This window comes from Homo sapiens, chromosome 8, assembly GCF_000001405.40.
Source record: "Homo sapiens chromosome 8, GRCh38.p14 Primary Assembly".
NCBI classification, from domain to species: Eukaryota; Metazoa; Chordata; class Mammalia; order Primates; family Hominidae; genus Homo; species Homo sapiens.
This window is the reverse complement of record NC_000008.11, coordinates 139600509-139625595: the sequence shown is the minus strand read 5'-3', so window position 1 is coordinate 139625595 and position 25087 is coordinate 139600509. Positions and strand designations below refer to the sequence as shown.

The window sequence follows — 25087 nt, the reverse complement described above, 5'->3', positions numbered from 1 at the left end:
CTTGGGCAAAGCTGCCCCCAGCCACCTTGGGCCCTGGGCTTAGGGATTGGCTGGGATTTCCAGGCAGGCCTGGGAAGATGGAAGTCACTTGCACAGCAAGGAGATACCATGTGCTGCCTTCTCCTCCATGCTGGGCTCTGGGATCTGCACAGCTGAGTCAGGAGTGGGCTCTGCTCTCCTCGGGAGCTCACGGTCTGGCCCAAGGTGACCCAGGCTGTGACTACCCAGCAGGGCCAGTCAGGGTCTGGATAGGTGAGGAGTACAGCCTGTGGGTGCTGTCCTGGGAGCCCCCAGCCTTCCACCAGGGTCCGGGGCTGGGAGAGGCACCTAGTAACCGGCTAAGAAGGCCCTGTGGAAGCAGGCAGGCTGTCAGTTCCCTTGGGCCCAGACGTCCTTGGCTACAGATCCACATGGGCACTTGGGGGCTGGAAGGTCTGACCCCCAAGGGCTGCACGCCAGCCTGAGGTGGGGCTCGGCTCAGAGGCTGCATGGCCCAGCTCTCGGTGAGGGGACCCATGAATTTGGCCAGTTCTGGGAGGGGCCAGGTGAGGGGGCTGATTCTCATTGTGCTCTGATGCACATCATCTGCCCCATTTCACAGATGAGGAAGTAGAGGGGTCCTCCCAGGGTGCTCAGGAGTCATAGTGCACAGCGCAGAGTCTGCTCAGGAGTCACAGTGCCCAGGACAGAGTCAGCTTTTCCAAGTGGGCTTTGACATTTTTACAATGACTGTCCCCTTTCCAGATCTGTAGGGCAGGAACCCCGTCACCGGCCTGCCCTGTCGAGTTGGGCATCACCGGCCCCCGGGTGTCAGTTGCCTCTGACTGTGGAGGTGGGCCGGGTGAACTGGAGGTTCTCTTCTAGGGCTGGCTTCACTTAGCAGGTGACCTAGGATGCTCCAGACCCCTGGGTGGGGCTGCCACTCGAGGGGTTGGTTCCATGTGCTGGGACATGGGGCTGGGCTGAGCTGGGGGTTTTCCTGGATCTCCTTCACCACTCACATCTACCCACCCTGCCTGGTCCTGGGCACTACCACCTGTTGGCAAAGCTGAGCAGGCCAGGGGAGGGCAGGTGGGTGGGCAGAGCAGGACCCTGGAGCCTAAAGCACTGAGTGATGCAGGGGCCAGCCGGGCTGAGAAAGCTGGGACAGCCACTCAACTGGAACCGACTGTAAGCTCCCTCCAGGGTCCCTGAACATGCCGGCATCCTGGAATCTTGGGAAGGATGGTGTTGGGGATGCTGCTGCTGTGTGAGCAGTGCTGGAAACCAAATTTCAGGCTGTCAGTGCTGTCTGTCACCAGCACCACTATGGTTAACCTCACACCCAGAGGCCTGACTCCGTGTGACCATCTGGACCGGTACCAGGTCCCAAAGGCAGGCGTGTCTAACTCAGCATCCCCCTAGATGTCAGCAAAACAGGCGGTGAAGCTCTGGAGATGAGCAGCGTGGGCTGGCTGCGTCCCTTGTGTGCAGGGGCTTTGTACCCTGTGTGTGGTCTTTGCATTCCTCAGTTGGTGGGGCTCTGGCTTAGGGCCCTGCTGTTGGCTGGGTGCCTGTAGGGGGTGCCAGGCATCGGGTTAGGTAAGGATGATGTGGCCTCTTGCGGGGCGGTTGTGGGTTGGCAACCCTCCTGCAGCCTCATCTTACACGTCTGTGAAGTGGTTCGAGTGACTGAGGCTGCTTGGCTAGATCTCACCCGCAGTCGGAGGCGCCCCTCTGGGAGTCCTGGTTTCATTATCTCTACCTTTAGTGCCCTGTGTGTCCCTCCTGAATTTTGTGCAGATCCATTTCAGAAGTCTCATTGCCAAAGGGATAAGTGACCCCTTTATGATGAGGGAAGCGTGGCCAGTGGTGGGTGGGACTTCTGAGATTCTGCCACCTCTGTGGTCCTCAGAGATGGAGAAGGTCACCACCCTGTAGTGCCTGGAGGGTAGGGGGAGGGGGCGGTAGGGTATTGTAGGAGCCTGGAGTCCTAGAGGGAAAATCCACCTGGGCATGTGTGGTTCCTGAGCTCACAGGTGGGGTAGGAGGTAACCAGGAACAGACAGCCTAGGGGTCACCTGTGGCCTTTCCACATCCATGCCCCAGCCTCTATCCGCACCTGCTCGTGTTGGGCACTGGGCAGGGCTCCTGGTACAGGCTGGCTGGAGCCCCTTGGGAGATTTCCAGGAAAGAAGTGTTTGTGGAATCCCCTGTGCCAAGAGCAGGTCCCAGGGCACAGTCAATGGAGATATCTGAATGGGTAATGTATGAGTAGATGAATGAATATATCTTCTGACCCCTGGGCGGGTGATGCTGGGATATGTTCATTTGCAGATGGGAAAAAAATGGTTTCTCAGGACTTGAGCTGTCACACAGGTGCTGGGGGAATGTATTAGATTTGTACCTCATTCTCCTCTTGGGAAGAGCTTAGAGGCCATCTTGTGTCACGTGTCCAGCATACATGCATTTTCTATGTTCTTTATTGTATCTTCTACATACAATCTGTAGACATGGTGTGTACTACTAAAACGTGCAGTCTGCAGCATATACATAGGTGTGGCACATACACAGCCTGTGTCATGTGTGTTCTACAGGCGCACACACTGCATAGACAATATTTGCTGGTGAATATGGGTGCGCTGTAGTTATATGTGCCTCTTGGTCTAATCTATCTGTATATAGTGTGCTACTATGTCACATGTGCCGTTATTCTACACATTAGGTTCCAAGTGTACACTGTGTGTACTCTGAAGTCTTCATAGATGCCATGTATGTGTGTTCTGTACAGGTATTTGGGAACATCTGACATGTGGACTTAATATTCGCAGGCCTGTTTGTACACAGTACCTGCAGTGTTCTATCATAAGCACATTTGTTAAGCAGACCAGGGGAAAACAGATAGTGTAACAGGGTCTCTGCAGGAAATAGCACTCTCACACTGAATGATTAATAAATGGGCTATTTATAAATTCTTCTCGAACACGTAGGCAGGTTTGGGGGGAAGCAATGAGGGGTATGTGGAGCACCAGTGGAGAGCTATTAACATGCCAAGGGTGCAGTTCCTGGAACTTGTAGAGAGTAGCTGCTGTAAGCCCGCTGACAGATGCGGCTAGTTGCCGAAGTCGCCCTCCTCTTCCCTTCCTCTGATCTACTGGGGCTGTCCATTGGATGGACCCAACTGGAAACCAGAGGGCAAAGGGACCCTTGATGTAGCTCCCAGGGTAGAGAGCAGGGTGTGGCTGGGAACGCCTAAATAGGACAGTGGAGGATACCCTGTACCACCTTCTTTTTCCTAGAAGGCCTTGGGAGTCCCGAAACTTGTCTCTCACTTGAGAGGGAATGGTCCTGTTCCCCAGACCACTGGGACCACAGGAAATGTGTTAATGGGGAAGACCCCTGAACCTCAGCGCTGTTCATCTCCCATACTCTCTCATGCACGTGTCTTACCAAGGGATGTCCTCGATGCAGTGGACCAGTGAGAAACACTATGGTGTGTCAATGATCAAGTTCTTTCATGCTGTAGTAAGACGGCAGGAGAATTGACATAAGCCTGAGACAGGACATACCAGTGTACTGCTGTCTAAGCCCCGTGAAGGCAAACTGCTTATTTTTACTAGCAGGAACAGAAGTCAGGGTGGGGGACCCTGGCACCTGGTATGCAGTTTTTGACCCAGAAAATGCCATGGTGATTTCTTCCAGTAAATATATCACATGTGGAACATTACCACTTAATAAGAAGTTTCCAACAACCTCCTGTTATTCTCCAGCATTCCAGCTGGCTTTTTTTGTATCAGCTCTACAGGTGAGCTATATGGAGATATAGTAGGATTCCCACCCCTGCATCTTTTATATTTACCCTACTTGTTTGCCAAGATGTGCCTTCTTTCCTGAAGACTTAAGTTTCCATATGGTGTCCTTCTCCCCAGACAGAGCAGCCTTCAGTAATCTTATTGTGTAGATATGCTGGTAATGAACTCTCTTATAGTTTTACTTCATTTGAAAATGTCTTTGTTTTGCCTTTCTTGAAGGATAATTTCTCTGGATATGGAATTTTCAGTGAGCAGTCTTAGTTCTTTACAGCCGTGCTTCCACTGCTTCCTGGCCTCTGTTGCTTATGTTTAGATGTAAGCAATATTATATTATTGTTCCCCTGTATGTGGTATATTATTTCTCTCTGGCTACTTTCATTATCTTCTCTGACTTTAAGCAGCTTGACTCTGGCGTGTGGTTTTCTTTGTATTTGTCCTGCCTGGGGTTCACTGAATTTCTTGAATCTATAAGTTTGTGTCTTTCATCAAATTTGGCTATTTTTTTTTTTTTTTTGAGATGGAGTCTCGCTCTGTCACCCAGGTTGGAGTGCAGTGGCACAATCATGGCTCATTGCAACCTCCACCACCTGGGTTCAAGTGATTCTCCTGCCTCAGCCTCCTGTGTAGTTAGGGCTACAGGTGTGTGCCACCACACCTGGCTAATTTTTGTATTTTTACAAAATTAGTAGAGATGGGGTTTCACCATGTTGGCCAGGCTGGTCTCAAACTCCTGGCCTCAAGTGATCCATCTGCCTTGGCCTCCCAAAGTGCTGGGATTACAGGTGTGAAGCACTGCACCCAACCTAAATTTGGCTACTTTTGGCCATTATTTCTTCTTTTTGTCTGATTCTCTTTCCTTCTGGGACACCTTTTGATATTGCCCTACAGCTCCCCCCAGGCTTTATTTTCAATCTTCTTTATTCCTCTCTGCTCTTCAGATTGGATAATTTCAATTGATATATCTATTATTTCAGCTTCTCTGTTTCCCCACCCTGTCCTTTCTGGCCTAACTTTGTCATATCATCTCTTCTTTCATAAGGACTAAGGGGTTTCAGAGGGGTGTCAGAGCTCAGCGCTAGCTGGGATTGAGGGCCAGAGAGGATGGGGGGAAGGCCTTCTGGAGGCAAACATGTGATGTCATTTTTCAAGTGAGAGTTTGGCCCATGGGGGTAGGTAGGTTATGGCACATATTCACACCACCGGAGACAGACAGACTGAGCCACAGGCAATGAAGCCCTGATGGAGAAGTGTGAGCTAGAGCCGTCAGAGGCAGCTTCATGCAGGAAGGAGCGGCAGAGGATCCTGGGGTCTGGTAGGTCCCTACTGTGTATCAGACTCTTGGCTCGGAGCTGTCTGATCTCGGCGGATCCATACAACGCCACCTAAGAACAATTATGCCATGTAACAGATAAAGACACATGGGTTTGAAAAAACTTATGGAACCCAAGGTAAAGCAGCAAGCTAAGTGACCATGAACATGTGACAGGGTCCCATCAGGGAAATCTATCTTGATGGGCAGGATTTTAGATGTTGGAAGACCAGGTACATCCTTCAAAATTTCTGTCCAAAAAAACACTGTCCATGATCCAGGTTTTTATTCTGGGTAGTGTTAGTCCCACAGTTTGAACCTACTGAGTCTCTTGTTCCTTCTGCCATATTGGGAAGATCCCATCCTGGCTCTGACATTGTCACTGACCAGCTTGGGTGACCCTGCAGCTGACTTCACCTATTCAACATCATTGCCTTCATTTCGAATGTGAGGAAATACAGTCTTGACTTGGATTCCCTGCAGCAACCACGCAATGAAGTTGCATCAAGAATTTCAAAAGTGCTTACACACATAAGGTCTTTAAGGGTTGTTTCCTCATTTCTATCCAGGCTCCATTCACAGAGTGGTGCAAATTTATTCATTCCTTTATTAAATAAATATTTTACTTTCTAGGTATGGGGGAATACAGCAGCGAACAAAACATTTTTAAAAGTATGCATTTGTGGCATTTACATCTCACTCTACAATTGCCTCTCTTGATTCAAAGTCTCTGCTTTTGAGCCTCATTCTTGGCAGTTGAAAACTCTGGGCTGAAATCCCAACTCTGAAGAAATCAAGCTACCCTGCTAACTCAGTTTTCTTGTCAGTGGGGTTGGAATCATTATGGTTGTTTAGAGGCTAGAATTAGGTGATGTATGTAAGAGGATTCAGCACTGTGCCTGGCCCATGGCAGGTATCATTCTTTGAAAATCCACTCTTCATGTCAATCCATAGTGGACATAGAGAGGTTTCTCCCTTGGGCTTGGTACTTTTGGAGTTCTCTTAGTAGTGAATCTGCTTTTTTCTTTTTAAAGCCTTTATGTGGCTCTAAGATGGCATTCGAATGTTCCTCCATCCCCTCTCAGTGGCATAGTGCAAGTGACATTGGTTCTTCTTTTTCTCTTCCCTTCCATCCCAGCACATCCCAACTCCCTCCCTACTGAAATGTTCCTACCCCCCTGCCATCCCCTAACCTCATGTGACTTCTGAGAAAGTGGCTCTCCTTTGTTCTCCTCCCTCCAATATATGGCCACGCCCCTCTACCCTGCAGAGGAAATTCCCCCAGTACCAGGTCCCTCTGCATTGCACTGCACTGCACCAAGTCGACCCTCCCTTCCCCCAACCTCTAGACCCCTCCTCACTTGCTCTCTCTGTTCTTCTCATCCCCTTCCCACAGGTTATGGGCACGCTGCACCTGGCACCGATGCGGGCAAGGCCTTCTGCATGTTCTACGCCGTGCTGGGCATCCCGCTGACACTGGTCATGTTCCAGAGCCTGGGCGAGCGCATGAACACCTTCGTGCGCTACCTGCTGAAGCGCATTAAGAAGTGCTGTGGCATGCGCAACACTGACGTGTCTATGGAGAACATGGTGACTGTGGGCTTCTTCTCCTGCATGGGGACGCTGTGCATCGGGGCGGCCGCCTTCTCCCAGTGTGAGGAGTGGAGCTTCTTCCACGCCTACTACTACTGCTTCATCACGTTGACTACCATTGGGTTCGGGGACTACGTGGCCCTGCAGACCAAGGGTGCCCTGCAGAAGAAGCCGCTCTACGTGGCCTTTAGCTTTATGTATATCCTGGTGGGGCTGACGGTCATCGGGGCCTTCCTCAACCTGGTCGTCCTCAGGTTCTTGACCATGAACAGTGAGGATGAGCGGCGGGATGCTGAAGAGAGGGCATCCCTCGCCGGAAACCGCAACAGCATGGTCATTCACATCCCTGAGGAGCCGCGGCCCAGCCGGCCCAGGTACAAGGCGGACGTCCCGGACCTGCAGTCTGTGTGCTCCTGCACCTGCTACCGCTCGCAGGACTATGGCGGCCGCTCGGTGGCACCGCAGAACTCCTTCAGCGCCAAGCTTGCCCCCCACTACTTCCACTCCATCTCTTACAAGATCGAGGAGATCTCACCAAGCACATTAAAAAACAGCCTCTTCCCATCGCCTATTAGCTCCATCTCTCCTGGGTTACACAGCTTTACCGACCACCAGAGGCTGATGAAACGCCGGAAGTCCGTTTAGGTGTGGGGAGGGAAATGGGACAGAAAAGTCATTTGTCATAGTTGGTGTTAATTTCCATTGGTCCAACTCGTCTTTTCTTATTTATTTATTATTATTATTGTCATCATTATTACTTTCTCTCCTTCCTCCTTTCTTGGTCTCTTGGTCTCATTTTCCCCCACCTTTCCAGCCAGACAGAGCAGGCCAAAGGGAAATACAGGCCCATCCTCCTCTGAAACTCACATCTGAGCATGAAGCATGGATCTCCTCCTTCCTTCCCAGCAGACTATGCCTTACATTTCTCACCCCACCCACCCCATCATCTCTGCAGTGGTTTTCCCGGGACAGATGTGAGACCAAGACCACGGAGACAGAGCTGAGAGGATACCCACCCCAAAGCTGCACATCACGCTCAGCCTTCAATCGCCTACCCTTAGTGGTGTCTCTGACCTAACTCCTTTCTCTTTTCCTAAGGACTGAGTGACTGTGTGTGTGTTGTGTGTGTGCTTCTGTGTGCACGTGTGTCGTGACAAAACGGGAAGTATTAGGTATTCCGTTTTCTTTCCCATCACACATCATAGCCTGCTTTTGGCTGCTTCCAAACAAAACGGGAAGACAAAACCCACAAGGTTTTTGATTTATCGTATTTTGCCAAATCAAGCATGTTTCATTAAGCAGTTCTTATCCCTGATGTGTCATGGCCATATTTTCTAAATGCTAGGTTCTAAATTATATTAATGTTTTTTAGGGGCGGGTGGGCAAGACGACCCAAACCATCTTAGCTTGCCAGTTCAGACATTTTTTAAAAAGCATGCACTTTGTTAAACTGGTATGCGCTATCAACAAAAAAACTAGAAATGGAATAATCCAAAGCCAATAACATTAACTTATAAAAGACATTTTTAATTTTGTCACCTCCAGTTCCAACAATTTACCATGCAACTGGAATTGTCAGGGGAAACGGGAAAATTGTTGGAACCCCAGAGTATCTATTTCCCTCTTATTGATGATTTTGTGCAGCACCTACCCTGCATAAATAAGAATTATAGTGTTGGAATGCTTGGGTGAGAATGGGTATTAGTATGTGGCTGTGGTTCCTTTTCCTCATGAAAATTGACAGGGCATTCCTCATTAAAAATACATATCTATTTCAAGAAATATCGTCTCTAATTGCATTTGATTTGTAAATAGGGTAAAGTTCACATTGGTCTCAGGAAGAGTTTAGAGGCAAGGAGCTATGTCTTGGCCTACTGGGAACTTGCCAATCTCAGGGGAAAATTTTGTCTGAGTAGTGTAGAAATTCCTCCCTACTCTCAATAGGGGATGACCCCAAAGGGAAGACCTGCTATCCTCTTGGGGGAGGTGGTGGGGTAGTTCAGGCTGTAGAATATGGCACAGTGGAGGCTCTTACAGTAACAGGCTTAAAGGACAGTTTGACCTCCAGATTCACTGAGGGGACTTTAATTTCCCTCATTACCATCCCTGCCATTTTCTAAAAATCACCCATTCATCCATCCTCCCATTCCTCTTTTGTAAATGAAGTTCATGGCTCTTGCATGGAAATGGACCTTGGCTATACTCAGAAGGAACACGGTTTACTGGCCTGTCTCAAGGCCCCAACGAGATCTCCCAGAAAGGAGGCTTTGCTCCCTAGAAAGAGTAGACCTACAGGATTTCTTAAAGGAGACAACACCTGAATGCCACCAGTCCCAAGCATTTGGGCCAATGGGCTGAAACACTGGAGCATTCAAGACTCCTCTGAAAAGGCTGTGCATGTACTTTAATGCTACATCCCATGTTGAAATTTCCCCTTCGTCCAGGACACAGGGCCTTCGAAGGAGTCTGCGAACCTCAGATTCTCTAGGCCAAAGTTGACAGTTCTCAACCTTCAAGGTCTTTATTGATTCACTTGTTTTAAGATTTTGTTTAATGGGAGGCCCTACTTGGGGCTCTAAAATCTGTCCAGAGAATAGCAGCAGTTCAATTTTTTTTTTCCTCTTGGATGAGATTGTTGACTCTAGGGGGTCAGAGGTATAAAAGCCCTAATGCATTTGCAGAATGCTTTATGCTTCAGAAGAGTGTGCCTGGAATAAATGTGGGGTTCTCATGAAAACCTTTGTAAGAGGTGCCTTCAAATGGTTGGGGGGTGTGATCTGATCTATGACGACACCAAGGCACTGAGAGGGTGATTTGCTCAGTGTCACAGGCTGGCTGTTGACAGAACTGAGACAGGTGTCTCAGTCTGGAGCCCAGGAGAGTCCAAGGAGCTGACTTCACACCACCATGTCCTAACTCAGCCCTCGGAGGAGGGCGCCTGCCTTTTTCCCCACTGGGGGCATGCAGCAGGCCCTTGGAGCAAATTAAAGGGACGCTGAGACCACCCTGCATACAGAGCTGGTTTCTCCACTACACTATCTGTGTCAATTTGGTCATATAGGAGCCATACTTCTGCTTGAATGCCTCAGGTAACAGAGCTTCTCTATTCCCAGGAACTATAGAAAACATTCTCTCTTCTACAGGATTAAGGATTATAGGATGAAGTCTTTTCTCCTCACATGACCACTGACATAAGTATCTGAGGCAACTTGTAATTTATCTTGGCTCTATTTCCCTCCTATGTCTTCTCTTTGCTACCAGCTTAGCCCTTTGAAGGATGGTCACTGAGTCTTTCAAAGTTAAACATCCTTGTTTATGGTCAGTATTTAGGGGATGGAGGCAAATCTTGGTTTTGCTTGGTGATGTTCATTTTTTGCTCAGATGGTCCATCTCTTCCCCCTGCTGTGGTCTCTGGCCAAGGAGATATCTAGGTATAGCATGAAATGGTCTCAGAGTGGGGAGGGCAGGGGCCAAGTTAAGGGTTCAGGGTTCTTTCTTCTCTTAATAAAACAGCACTAAACAGAGATGCCCAACTCCTACCACTCAATCAGCATTAGAATCAGATCCTCAAAGCCAGGAGGAAGCTTGGTCCAAGTCATCTCACTGAGCAGCCTTTGTTTTCAGACGAGGACATTGAGGTTCAGAGAAGGCGAACACTTATCTAGAGGTCACAGAGAGAGGATTCTAGGTCTTCCCACTGATTTCTCTACCATGTTCCTGGCTACTTCTGTTGCTATTTACAGCCTTCTGAAGATCTCTTGTTGCTGGACAATTTTAGTTTCTTAGCCCCAGGTCTCTCTTCCTCCCTCTTGCACCTGGTAATTTCTTTCTTTCATCCAAGTGATTTTCATACCCTTCTCCCAGTTAACCATGCCCATTCAGCAAGGTGGTCGAAGTCACAGCAGGCTGCTTGGATGTAGGGTTCAACTTCTGTTAGAATGAGCTCAGGAAGAGCCACGTGCTACCAGAATCACCCAAGGTGAGCCCACCAGCCAGTACCTAGAAATCAACATGCCTTGTAGGTATTTAGGGATCATCAGTACCACCGCCCAACCTTCCTCCTATATTTGGAGTGGATAGATGAAGATTGAGCACTCTTAGTTGAAAAGAGTTCAAGTGAGAGTAATATCTCTAAGACCCCTGGGGGCAACACTTGCTAGAGACCATCCAGCTATAATCCTCATTGCACCCATCCTGGGTGGAAAGTGCTGTGTTGGCCTTCAGCCTGTTAGACTCTTTTACGTAGGACTGAACCAACCCCTCTGGGTTTTGAGATACTTGGTTGTCCCTACAGCTAGTATCAGATCTGTTCTTTCCACCTGCACTGCTTCATCTTGAAATCCTGGCAACAGCCCCTTAAGCACAGCGAGCTGCCTGGCTCTACATGTGAACCCCCTTGGAAGCATCTGCGCGCTCCCACTGTGCATGGCTGATTGGGAGGGGAATGCCTGCATTCAGGCATGGTCACAGCAGCTCATTTGCAGCCCAGGATTCCCACTGGGGTCCATCATCCTTTCAGGAGAGTTGGCAAATGGACTTAGACCACTGTCCACAAAAGCCTCCTTGGGAGGTGCTCATTAAAACCCCACCCATCAAAGGGAGGGAGATTGATGAATCTCAGCTCACCTGTTCCTTATCTGTGCACAGGGCCTTAAGAGAACATTGGGACAGCATGAGAAGCTTGCAGATAAGCCTAGGCAGGTCGTTTTTCTCTGCCTCATCCATATCTGGAAGCCAATGGGTCCTGATTCTCACTGACAATCACTTGCAGCTGGAGGGAAGAACAGGGTTTCTCAGAGGCCTCCCTTGTCTGTGCACATTGGCCAGGAGAGGGAGGTGAGCAAGGAGAAAATGACCAAAAAACCACCATCACTGAGGCTTATGGCTCCATTTCTTTTTGTAATATTCTTTTTCAAATGACAGGCCCCAAGATACCCTTTGAAGCCCTCTGCAGAGGCGCCTGCCCCTGTCCTATCAGTGCACTGGCCCCGTCATCAGTGAAGCACTCTGGCAAACTGTGGCTTTGTTCTGGAAGTGGAGTGACTTGGGGTCTGTCCCATGCAGGCCAGCTGCCTGTGGGTCTAAAGTGGGTTTCCTCCAGAGTCGTGGCCAGCACAGACCCTGGAAACACCGTAGATGAGGACAGGATGGCAGGCAGGGGACCTGTTATTGTGCTGTGCTCCACTGAGCTCCTGGAAGTCATTTCACTCCCTGGGCCTCTGGGGCTTCCCCATCAACACAACGAGACAGCTTGGGTGAGATTTATGGGCACTTAGCACAAAACCAATTTGACCCACAAAAGCATTTGGCCTGGATGTTCTGATCCCTGGGCACACTTGAAGCTTGAGCCACCCAGAAGAAAGCCAAAAATCACTTTGTTTGGCAGGGGATGGGGAGCTGGGGAAGATGAAGAGGGACCGGCAATAGCAGAGAGAACCATGGTGGTCACAAACCAAGGCCAGGTGCATTCTGGGCTCCCCAAAGCGCTGAGCATAAATCCATTCTATGTGGTTCTTTCTTGACCACACCTGATAGAGGCTGCTGATTCAGGAAAACAGCAAATCTATGACCACGGTCCCCCACACTGACCTTCTATGTTGAAGATCCCAGAATTACAAAGAATGGTCCAATGAGCTTCCCTAGACCTCTCGCCCAGACCCCCAGCCTCAATACTTTGCCACCCTGCTCCCCAACTCTCACTCAGATGTTTGGACAATGTGTCGTCATGTCTGCAACTTTTCAGTGGTTCAGCCAAAGAAGAAATTGTCCGCCATGAACAAGAGCACTCTCCTACCTAACGGTGCCATTGTCACGCCTAAGAAACATTCATACAATCTTATTGTCTGATACAGACTGTATGTAAATCCCCAATTGTCCCAAAAATGTCCAAGAGCTTATTGAGTCTAAAATACAACCCAAGATCACCTCCCATAATTGCTTGTCTTGTTGTTCCAGACTTCCCCCAAATAGGACGTCCCCATCACCATTTCTGTCTTCACAATGTTGGCCTTTTTGAGAAGTCCTGGCCAGGGTCTTATAGAATAATGCCCTGTGATCTCCTCTGCTTGTTTCCTCAGGTTAAGACAGTTTTGGCAAAAAAAACCCAACAGCGTTGATGTCGAGCAGCCATGATTTATGCATTTGATGTTTGGCTCTCTGGGGACCTCTGTGGTAACTGCTTTCATTGTGGATAAATAAGTCATATTAAATGTTGTTTTCCTCTGTTAGGGGAACTAACTGCACATTCAAGAGAGGCGTCCGTGGATGCTGGGTCTCACTGCCAAAGCCGAACACGGCTTCGGGATTTCTGCCTTCTCAAGTGGACCTCTGCTGTGCTGGGCGAATGCTCTACTCATTCCCCTACACAACTGTGGGGATGGTCCAGCTACACATAGACAGGAAGCCCAGAGAAACGCTCGATGTGAGGGTCCCCGCAAGCCCGTCGGGCTCTTTCGGCACCTGGCCCCCCCAAAGCTCCTCAACGAGGAGTAGAGACTGCCAAGCCCTTCCACTCATTCATCATCATAAAAATGTAACTTGCTATGGCAGCCTCTTGGCCATTAAGGGCTATACTTTGTGACCTCTGTCCTTGAGATCTTTGCTCTGACAAGTTCTATAGCCTTCTCAGTGCTGCTATCGTGACGCAGTGTCCCTGCTGTGGCTAAGTAACCTTTCGTTTTGATCAAGATTTGTCCACGCAGACTCCTACCTCTGCGCCTTTGCCCGTGCCGTTCCCACTACCTGGAAGGTCTCCCCGTTGCTCTCCAGCTTTGAGGTGGAGACAGAGCATCTCACACTTCCTTTTGGTGTCTCCTGACCCTTTTGCTCCCTGCTGGACTTGGCGATGTCCTCTTCTGGGCTCCCCTAGTCCTTGTTTTGGTTGTGAGCGACCGCACCAGGGAGCAAACCTTCTATGGCCCCGGCCACAGGAGCAGCAAGCACTGGGCAGTGCCCCAGACGGAAGGACCATCGCGAGAATAAAGGCACTGAGATGTCTGGCATCTTGCCCAAATGGCCACTTATCACCGTGATTGAGGCACGTCTTAACTTGCTGAAGTGGAAACAGGGTAACTCAATGCACGCCTCTGCACCATCCCTGGAAACCAATCCAGATCTATGAGAAGAAAACTGGTCATCATAGCACTGGTGATTCAACGGCACCTGCCTGGCAGGGTGGAGTGTGCCCCATACAACAGGGCTGGAAGCTGCCACGCCAGGTATTTCTCATAAGGCCGGTACAGGGATGGCACCAGACTATGGGAGCATACTTGTGATGTCACTCTGAAGAAGTTGGGCCCCGTGATGGGAATGTCATCAGGAAACTGGGTCCACACTGTTTTCTTGTGGCAACACTTCTGGTGGAGGCTGCGAGGGGATGGGGACATGCACCATGAGTGACTCAGGAACCCCCAGCCTCTGTGGCCTGGCTCCTGCCCACCCCTAGCTCTGGGGCCTTGAGAGAGGCAAGCACACGCTCTTCTCGCCTCCAGAGAGCGGCGTGGGGGTGTGGATACTGCTCAGGCCCTGGCATCTCGCACGCCTAGGACCAGCCTCTGCCATTCACAGGTGGGTGGTGGTTTTGCCTCTCTGAGCTTCAGTTTCCCCACCTTTAAATTGGAGATTATACATAACACCTACTGCAAAGAGTGCCTGTGAAGACTAGATATGCTGTGATGACATTTAATGGCACCTGCTCTGTGCCAAGCACCCTGACAGTGTTCTTATACATGTTTGCATTTCTCACAAAAGCAAGGCCCATGTCTCCCAGAGGAAGTTACTCTGGGGGCATTGGACTTGAAATCAAACTATGGAGAAAAAAGTGATCAAGTCTGGTTGAGGAACTCAGGCAGGGCTTCATGGAGGAAATGGGTTTCGGAAATCACTGAGGCGAGCCTTAGAGGAGCAAATGGGTGCTATTTTAGGCAGAGACACAGCTCAGGCAAAGGCATGGGCCAAGGCCCAGGGGTGCGACAGCACAGGGGGCACAGATTCCATCCCACCGTCAGTGGAATCCTGCCACTCTTGGGAGACATGACACAGCATAAATCTCAAGGCCCTCCACAAGCTGGCCACATCCTAAGTCATTCAAGCCACTCTTCTGCTCAAGAACCTTCCCTGACTCCCTAGTGCCCACAAAGTTCGTTTATGTTAAGGTCCTGCACTCTAACCACCCTAGCCCGAGTCTCAGGCTTTCAGGGAGGCACTATCCATCTAGATGTCCCTCCTGGGTCCTCCCCCCATAATAAAATTCTAAAAATAGATCCTGGAGTCTCACCAAACTTGAATTCTGTGGCATCCCCTTGTTTGGGTGGGGTTTTGACAGGCAGAGGACATTAGCTTGAATTTGCATATGGGGATCTTTCTGGATAAGATCTTGGTCTTTCACTTAAGCATCCTGGGGTCTTGTCTTGATGAAATCTTCTGCTGGTTTTACCAAAGACTAGCATGAAACTAACAAAAGGAAAATGCTGTATAAAAGAAATTCTTAAGCTTACTTGGCATGAGGAACTTGTTTCCTGATTGATTTCATGAAAAACAGTGATCTTGACTCCCTGCATCTGTGCCCTCTGGGACTGAAGCTGGCTAAGGCCTTGTGGGCACTTGTTCCCCTCACCCCCCAGGAGATGAGACCTATGGGTCTGTCACCCAGCACAGGGTCCTCTGAGGGTGTCAGATGATCCAGGAGTGCCTACTGTCAAGGTGAGTGCTGGTGACCCAGAGGTAGCAGCTCCTGGTGAGAAGCTCTGTGTGCAAAGCTGTTCCCATCAGGACTTAGAAATATGAGCTTGATTTTGAAATGAGGCCTCTGGGTGGTGGAGGCTGAGGGAGGGCAGAGGCTGGGGTGAGGGTGGGATGATGTACAGGAAAGAAGTCAAGTCTAGGGAACATGGGTGGAATCAACACTCAGATTTTGTCTTTGTGATTTGCTGTGTGACCTAGGGCAAGACATCCCACTCCTCTGGGCCTGAGTTTTCTAACTTACAGACTAAAGGGTCTGGCCAAGCTACCAAGGCCCACTCCACCCTGCCCCAGTGTCCACCATGGACAGGACGCCAGTGTGGGGAGGACTGGCTGAGCTGACTTCAGCTGCATTGGAAAATATCCCCCCTCCACCTCCCCCAACACCCTCTGTTGCAGGTGACTCTCAGATGCTTTAGTTTTAATGACATATGGATCCTTAATTAACCAACAGCCCTGTGCAATCTTTGCTTAATTTCTTGGTAGGCTCACCTCCCGTCCTCACCACATGAGGTGCCCTGCTCTAAAGGAAGAAAGCCTTAGCCAGTTGAGCTGTGAGTCATCAGTATCTGCAGAGCAGCCCACAGGCCTGGCCCCTGGAGCTCACCCTTCCTGGTGAGAGAGGGGCCTGCCCCTGCCCAGCATTTACCTTTGGGCTTGGCCTGAAGCAGCTGTTCCACCCTGCCATGTCTTCCTCTGGATTCCTCACTCCAGGGTTCTCTTTGCTTCCTGGGAGAATATGTCCCCCTACCCCCTTCTGAGGGCCACTTGGCCCAGCAAAGGGCCTTGCCTCAGGTCAGCTTAGCTCAGCTGGGGCCCAAACCTCTTAGACTTGCATATAGTGTAGCACCGTGCAAGTGAAGATGTTTCTTCCCGCTGGCACACTCACTCTTCACGCTAGGTAGGTGGGGGGGGGGTGGGGGGGCAGAGCACCCCCATTTGGCATATGGGGTAACAGGGCTCAGAAAAGCGGCAGAGCTGGAACTCCAAGTCAGGTGTCCTGACTGCATATTTCCAGGTACCTATCCTGAAGCTCCCGGAGCGGGGCGGGGTGGGGTGGGATGGGTCCCTCAGATTGCCATGAGGAAGGGACATAGATAGGGGCATGCCTCAGGAGGAAGAGGGAGGGGGTGTCATCTCCAGGTCAATCAAATACATACGCGGGGGTGGGGGCAGTGGGCATTTCACATCAGCAGGCATTAGAGAGGAATAAGTGCCAGGTCAGCCAGAAAAAGATGTGCCGAGTCTGCCAGTTCCTTCACCCAGTTCAAAAGCCCAGCTCTGGGCTCAGCACCACAGACAAAACCATAAGCCAAGAGCCACGTTCAGATGAAGCCTTTGATTGTTACTAATCACACAGAGCTTTGTCCATCTTTTCTCTACAACAGTGGCCCCCAGAAGGCAGATCTGAGACCAGCAGTAATGGGGTCTCTGGCCTGAAGGGTGGGCTGGTGGACCTGAGCTGGGTACGGCGTGCAGTACGTTGTGTAGTAGAATGTGGCTGGAGGGCGCAGGTACACCCCCACCCCGCCCCGCCCCCCCGCAAAGCCTGCAGTAGCCCCTGCACAGGACAGGGCTCTGTGGTGGGGGTGCAAGAGCCTCTGCTGAACCCTCCCACACTGTGGTGTGACCCAGGCTGGCCGCCTGTCCCAGGAAGTAGATCTGAGAAAGAGCTAGAGAAGCACAGTGATGCTCAAACACATCTGGCAAATGCCCCACTAGAGCCTTCGTTTCCCCGTCTGCGAAGGAAGGATCTGGAGAACAGGACTGTTCTGGAAGGATTGGGGGGTGGAAACCCCTGTTCTGCAGATGCTGCTGTGATAAACCACCGAAAACACTGGGTGGGAATCTGCCCCCAGGGTGGGCCTGGGTTTTGTCTGAAGCTTTGTGTGAGACTCACAGGTTGGCAGGGAATCTGGAGTCGGTGGGGAGGCAGGACTTGCCCTTGTCACCAGCACCTCCCTCAGTGTGGTGACAGTTGGTCCTGGCACCTGAAGGGTCCAGTTGGGAAGACAGAAGGGTGAGTCAGTTCCTTGGAGACCTCTACGCATCCAGAGAGCAGTGCTTGATTTCGAGGAGGGAGGTCTTGTAAGCTTCAGCCATGAGTCTTTGTCTCAAAGTCTGAGCTCTCAGCCTTGCCTCTTCTAGCCAGCAGGCACTGGGTGGTGTAGACATCAGGGGCCTTCCTAAGCACCCAACCCTGGTTCCTTTCCCTCCTCATTTGTAATAGGACCACTTGGTCTTGGCAAGTCACTTATCCTTTCCTACAAAAGATGAAAAGGCCAGGTGAGCTAAGAGGCAGGTGTCTTCCAGGTAGATACTGGTGAGGATGAAGTGACAGTGTGGTCACATCCTGGACTGACATTTCAGTGGGGGAATTTGGAGAGACAGGGCCCAGTCTTTCCAGCAGTGGGCTGGGTTCCTACACAGGGGCCAGATCCTGTCTTCCAAGGACATCACCTGTTTCAGGTAGATTAGTTCTGTAGACTCCCTCTCCTCTCACTGGAGACTCGGCCCCTACAGAGCCCTTTTAATCCTTCTGATGGATTTTCCCATCAGATGGGGTCTCCTTGATGACCCCAGCACTCAGTGCCCAGTGAACCAGATGCCTGGACAGTGGTGTGGGTGGGAGCATGCTCCAGGGAACCAAATTCCACTTCTCTCAGATGACACAGCTATGAGGCATGAGGGGCTGCAACAGTGGGCCCGGCAGCTCCCGGGGGCCCCTTTGTGCAACTCGGGCTGCCGATTCAGCCGTTTCTCCAGCCACTATTGACTGAGCACGTTGAGCATGTGCTGCCTGCTGTCCTTACTGGGGGCCATGAAGGTGAGCTAGACGATCAAGTCCTTGGCTTCATGGGACTAAGATGCCCATGGACCACAGCCTCCCTGATGCACAGAGTCTAGAAGCAGTGCCAAGGAGCAGGGAGCAGGAATGGGAACCAGAACAAGTCTGGGCAACTGTTTTACTTTCTCACGTGGAATTTTAGAAGTTGGGTGGAAAAATAATATGAAAGGAAAAACACAATTAGTGGGAACCCAGTGAAGCAGAACCCACAATTAACAAGATTTCTCTATAATTTGATAGCTCCTCAGAGGAGCACACTACTGAAAAAGGCTAATTATATATTTGTTTGTTCAGCCCACAAATAGCATTTTGACAGCCGTTTTGTGTGTGTGTGTTGCGGGGGGATGTGGGGGAGAAGGACCTTATGAGATCATCTCAGTCCACCCTCTGCTTCATCAGAAATCTCCACTAAATAGATATTGCACTGGGTTAGGCAAAACTGTTGATTTTGTTGATTAAAATTTAAATAAGAAAACAGATTAACCCCCACTTGAGAGATTTGAAGATATCAAGTATATCCAAAAACATTGATGAGGCGGCTTACAGTTAAACAGAGACACGGGACAGAGATATCAAAGATGAGTAGAATTTAAGCCACTGAATTAAGGAGAAAAACTTCCAGTCCATTCCCAGCAGGCCAAGAAATTGCTGATAATCCCTCTTAGATGTACAGTATTTTTTACTTCAGCCAACTGTGTATCCTTGTACCTTAAAACATCAAAAGGAAAACTTGTTGCTTTTGACTCCAGGCATAGAAGAAATTAAGCTTGAATTAGTTCCAAACTCACACCCATCAAAATGATTGGCATATACTCATGGGGCACCTCCTGGGGAGGGTGGGGTGTGGGGATATGGACCCTCGTGCATCCATCTGGGGTATGTGTGTGCATGTGCATTGACCGGATATCTGTGGGTCTTTGGATTTTTGTGTTCCTCCTCTCCAGCCCCCAGCATAGCTGGGCATTTTTGTGACTGTGCAGTAAGGGGACCTGGGTTTGGTTCTTATGAAGATGCTACCGGAGGCCTGCCACAGCACTCCCTGTGGGAGGGTGATGGAAATCAGGAAAGTTGTAGCAGAAATGGGCTTAGTTACCTTGGGACTGTTTGTTCACATTCTAGGAGGATGAAATGGTTGGTCCCGGACCCTTACCAGGACCCACCTTCCTCCCTTGGTGAGCGGGATTTGAACAGGCCCATTGTGGTCAAGGTGTCAGGCCTTTGGTAGGAAGCTGTATCAGACTTGGCAAAAATCAGCAGTTCAAACTCATCCATAGAGAACCAAATTCAAAAGGAGCCTACTGCTTCTGTTTGTTTTCTTTTGTTCATCTTCTCTGGCCTTCTCTGTGGAGATGGCACCTTCACAAATGGCCTTAGAATGCCGTTCTGAAGTTCAACAGAATGAGACAACCATCAAATGAATATCAGAGGTATTTATTATTGTCACAGCTTACCTAATATTTTAAAGAAAAAACTAGTAACTAATGTTTACATGTCCAAGTAGACATCCAGCCCATGTAGAATATGTAACTTACACAAGGGTTTGCATCTTTCTTTTGTAACGAGTGCGGTACGCAGCCCTGTATATATTTTACAATGTCTTTACAGAAAAAAAATCATTTAATGTGGTGTTGTACAATAATGCATTTTTCTAATTTTTTTCCATTAAAATCTCTATGGCACGTTTACAAATGTATCTTGGTCTTTCTTCACTGAGAAAGGTTGGACAAGACCTGCTTTGATGCCTCGTCTTCCTGCCTGTAAACCACATTCTGAAAGCAGAGTGCAAGGTGGACAGTCCTGGCTGTATACCCTGTTTGCTCTTGGTCTTCCTCATTGTAGACAGGCCTACTCGGAGGCCTTTCCCCTAACAACCTCGGTCAAGTAAGGAATTTGCCTTAAAATACAAAACTATCCTTTTTGGACTTTATGTGCTGACTCAGTTATTTTGTGCAGCTTGAATTGGATCCAGGAACCAGAAAGTAGATGAGCACCATTTCCAGGAGGCAATGAAACCAAAGCAAACCAAACCAAACCAAGAGTTTGACCTCAACTGAACCGAGACCGGATTTGCTGATTTTTGTTTTTCTTTCATGGCCAAGGAATCTGAGTTAAAAATGAGGCAAACCATGCTGCCCTTTTCCACCAGTGTGTGTATGGACACAAGAAGGGAAAACGAGGCAGTTAGCAGGTGCTCAGTGTTCTTTATATCGAAGGCAAATCTGCTCCTTCCAGCTCCATAGGAGCTGCCCAAGTATTGGGGCTCCCGAGCTCCACCTGGAAGGCTCATGAAGACAGGTTTCTGGGTCGTGCCCTTAGTCTGGATCCAGGATGGGGCTGAGAAGGTGCATTTCCAAAGGGCACTCAGGTGATGCTGCAGCAGCTGTCCCAGAGATTAACGGGAGATGCTGGCCAAAAGCAGACCATGGCCACAGGTCATGTTCCTGAACCTGGCCACACAAAGCCAGGCTGTTTTCTGTCTTTCTCGGAGGCCATGCCTCCTCTTTCCCTGCTTACCTGCTCAGCTCTGTTTGGCATCCCCCAGGGCCTACCCAGGGCTCATCCAGGAAACAGATGGGCGTGAGCCCTGGTAAGAATTATTAATTCTTAGTGATTGAGGCTTAATTTACATACAGAAAAACTTACTCCGGGGTGTTCCGTGTTCCTTTCTCTGCATTGTGACTTGGGGTCTTAAATCCTCTTAAAATGTAAATAAGGACGGATTGCTTTCTCTCCTCAACCCTTCTGTGGATGCCTGGCTAGAAGCCAGGTCTTTCCTACCGGTCAGCTTTGCTCCTATCTGCGTGCCCGGCTTGTGCTCTCCATGGCGTGCAGATGCGCCCGCGTGGCACCCCCACCTGCTGTTCCCTCAACCAGCAGCTCTTTTCACCCCACCTCCTCCCGTCCCACAGTGTCTCTGCTCAGATGTGACCTTCTTGGAGGGTGCCTCTCCAGCCTGCTTTCTCCTCTAGCACTGATCACCATCTGCCACTACTAAACACTTGACACGTCTATTGTGTCTCCCCCAGGGAAGCATGAGCCCCACAGGGCAGAGGACAGGGACTTTCACTTGCTTTATTCATTCACAGCTCTACCCTAGAGCCATATCTGCAGACAATAGTCCTTCAGCCTTCCCTGAATACCTAAATGATGGGAAGAAATCAGAGTCTGCGCCCTGGAGAGCCAGGGAGGCTCTTGCATCCTTCTCTTCCTCTGCTCCTCCTACCCCAAACATTAGTCTCACGGCCTGCACTGGCCCTGAAGGAGAACTTCCTGGCTCAGATGGATCCAAGGTCCCCAGCACCCTGACACATGAGCTCAGGGAGGCTGTGGGACCGTCCAACTCATGAGGCAGGACCTGTTGCTAAACTGCATCCTGGGGTCCAGTGGCTCCAAGAATGTGGACTGGGGATCCACAGCAGGGCTGGCTCTTGGTTTATGACCTAAGGCAATTTCTATTTCTCTTCTCTTTGGAAGACAGTTTCTATCCTCAGTGAACCAGGTTAGTGCTTCCTAAGAACTCTGTGCTTTCCAGAATCTTCAAGGGATAATATGGCTGAGTTCCTTTCCTGGCTTTTCTATTATTTTAGCCAAGGCCCAAGCTCAGAGGGACACCCTGAGCAGGTTGGACAAGACCTGCTCTGATGCCTCGTCTTCCTGCCTGTAAACCACATTCTGAAAGCAGAGAGCAAGGTGGACAGTCCTGGCCGTATACCCTGTTTGCTCTTGGTCTTCCTCATTGTAGACAGGCCTACTCAGAGGCCTTTCCCCTAACAACCAAGTAAGGAATTTGCCTTAAAATACGAAACCATCTTTCTTGGACTTTATGTACTGACTCAGTTATTTTGTAAGTAACTCAGTAAGAGGGCAGTCGTGGATGAGGCAGTTTTGAGTCCCTGGCTAATCAGTGCACGATCCACAACTTCCTTTTGCTCCCTAATGAGAACTCTGTGTGATCAGGACACCTGAGATTCTAACCCCACAACAGCGCCTTCCCCTCTCTCCGCCACACCCCTGCTGCTGGTCATTCAATCCAAACACACGGGTGCTTGTGCCGCTGCCCAAATGAGGAATTGGGGGGCAGGTGGGAGACTTTGGAGCATATTCCAGGGAGTCTTCATCACTGTCATCATTGTTATCACCGTGTACCTGTTAATGGAAATAATGGTCACTTAAAATACTTTTCTGCATATCTTGGTTTGTTCCTCCATCATGTGGTTAGATTTTCACTAAGTTCTGTGCAGTTTACATTTGGGATGATCTGATGAGAACCGTAGGAGCACATCACAGCAGGAATACACAGCATACTTGTTGTGAGTTCCCTTGAAGAGGACACTTGAGGAAAAAGCAGTTATGCTCTAGGGCAACTGAAACCACGGTGACAAAGAGGGCATGACTGGCAGCGATACGCCACCATGTAAAGAATGTGAGGTTTCAAAGGTTTTACTCTCCCTTTCTGCAAGTGGAAAATCCTATCAATTAAGAGCCACAGCAGATGTTCCAGCTTGCAGGGGCCAATTTTCAATTGAGCTCCTTCTCACGTGAGCACCTCTGTGTTATGCTGCACGATGAGCAGTATCAGAACTTCTTTGTTTTATAATGATTCTCACAAGCAACCCAGAGGGGTGAGCCCTACCATTTAGTGTCCCTGTGTCCTTGGTCACTTGGCTCATCTGCAAATGGTCAAGTAGACATTATTAAATAAGACATAGGAGATCACCTGTGCTAAGCAGTTCCTATCATCGTGTGGTAGGCATTGCGTGCTAAGTTCTTTTCTGGTAATTCTCAGAGCATCTCCTAAAATGCTTTCCATAGCTTGCTGGTCCTATAAGGTCTCCCACCACCCTCCAAAAAAATGTAACAGGCATTGCTGCGTTCTAAGTCCCTTTTGTGCAGATTTACAACTCACACCACAAGACATCTAACAGTATTTACTGTCTTAAAGAAAAATTTGAACTTTGCCAACCTAGGGGGTTCCTGAGCAAATCTGATCAATCCGTTTTCCCCGGAACACTGGTGGCATTCATCACCAACCCATCCTGCATGCCTGTGATCGATCGTCAAGGCTGTGCAGCAGCCCCTCCCATCTTTGCACCCTCCAGGCCTATCAGGGTTGCACTTCCTGGTCCCCTGGGTGGGTGCGGTCATGTGATTAGTTCTGGCCAATGAATCACAGGTGAAGCTGCACAGATCACTTCCCGGCTGCAACCTGAACTGTGTGAGACCCTCCAGGACTTTCTTTCCTTCTGTTGCACTGACAGGCAAGTTTCAAGACAGTGGCTAAGCCCAGGTCCTGAAGAGAGGAGGTAAGGTGGGGACTCCCCAGCTGGCCCATGGTGGACACAAACGGTGAGAAAAAACCTTCAAGCCACTATGACGTAGGGGTTTGTCAGCCTATCCTGACTGCTCCAGGTTTGTTCCTGGGGACACCGTTCCTCAGGCGGTTAGTGCCTGACACATGCGGGTTCACAATAAATATCTGAGTTAATGACTGGCTGACATCATCTTCCCAAACAGTAAGAGGGGTCTCTATAGAGAACCTAACATGCAATAAAATCTTACATCAGGAGCAGGGGGTCTTAATTATCTGGGTTAAATATTGCCTACTCCAGTTTCACCCTCATTCAGGGACTTTTAAGCAATATTTCATCCATAGAGCTTTTCCATTTCAAATGTGATTTTCACTTTCAATTCTTTGTGTTTCCTCCTTAAAACAGGACCGTGCAGGCGGCCCCAACAGAGGACGGGGACAGCTCTCTCCTTCTGTAAGTGAGGCAGCCTCATCCTTCCCTGGATCCTCAGCATCTCTTAACCAGCAGTGGCAGAGGTTGAATTAGAATGGCACCAGCTTCGGATAAAAATCCAGATCTCGCTTTTCAAAATGTGTCTAGAGCTGGTGGCTGTAAGGAACCAGTCAAGCCTCAGCTGTGACTCTAATCCTGCCAAGTCCACCTGAGAGCCGACTCATTCATCCAAAGAGAGAACGGTTTGGATGGAGCTCAAGGTGCCTGGCTCGCTGGCATAGCCCAGACAACCTCTTAAAGGCCGGGCCACAGAGCTAGAAGGTCTGTCACTACTCAGTTGGGGAAATCGTCTGAGAAGTTCAAGTCCACTGCCTCGCAACTCAAATGAGTCAGCCTCACCAACCAAGAATCGCGTTCATAAACAGACTCAGAGCCTGCGTGCCGTGGGGTTTCCCCGTCTGCAACTCTCTCACCTGGCCCTCCTGCAGGGCCCGGCGGGGACTGGGGAGGGTCAGTGCTCCCTGGGGCGGGGACTGGGTCTGTTTCCAGGCTCAGTGCCTCTGAGTCATACAGATGCCAGGTGGTCCTGCTGCTTACCCTCGCTGAACCTCAGGCTTCTCGTGTAAACAGGGCGCTTTTGAGGAATTATTATTAACATCTCCCTGTGAGTCAAAGCACCTACTGAGATAATGTATGTGATGCTTGTAATAAATGCAGCTACATGCCAGGCACTCTGAGATGCTGCCTTTGTGGTTATTATTTTTAGCTCAGCCGTATGCGTGCCGGAATGTGTTCCTGTTGGCTGTGCGTCTACCATGGAAAGTGGCTTCTAGTGTGTTTATTTGCCTGGCACCTGCCCCTTTTTGCTGCTCCTTGCAATAGCCCAGACTTGAGCCAGGGTACAGACCCAGAAGCCATTGAATGAAAGGGAGACCCAGTGCCCTTGAGGAAGCACCCTGGTACACTGCCACACATTTATCCTGTGAATTTTTCTCATCGCCTTTCTCGAAGGCAGCTATGGCCATTTACTAGGGACACAGTGCACTGGGAGAAAGGAGAAAGATCA

General features: G+C 49.7%; 1 protein-coding gene across 2 annotated transcripts in view; it reads left to right on the top strand.

Annotated features, from left to right (window-relative positions):
• Nucleotides 1-24758, top strand: part of KCNK9 (potassium two pore domain channel subfamily K member 9) — a 102286-nt gene extending 77528 nt beyond the window's left edge. Inside the window, exons 2-4 of one of the 2 annotated variants that reach the window (NR_104210.2) lie at nt 6497-7338; nt 12922-14259; nt 23995-24758. Coding sequence is in view for 1 of the 2 variants with exons in the window: in NM_001282534.2 (NP_001269463.1) it covers nt 6497-7338 (842 nt within the window). In the remaining variant the exon portion in view is untranslated. Of the gene's footprint in view, nt 1-6496; nt 8476-12921; nt 14260-23994 lie in introns of those variants that run through there. The other variant, NM_001282534.2, reaches the window with a different exon arrangement.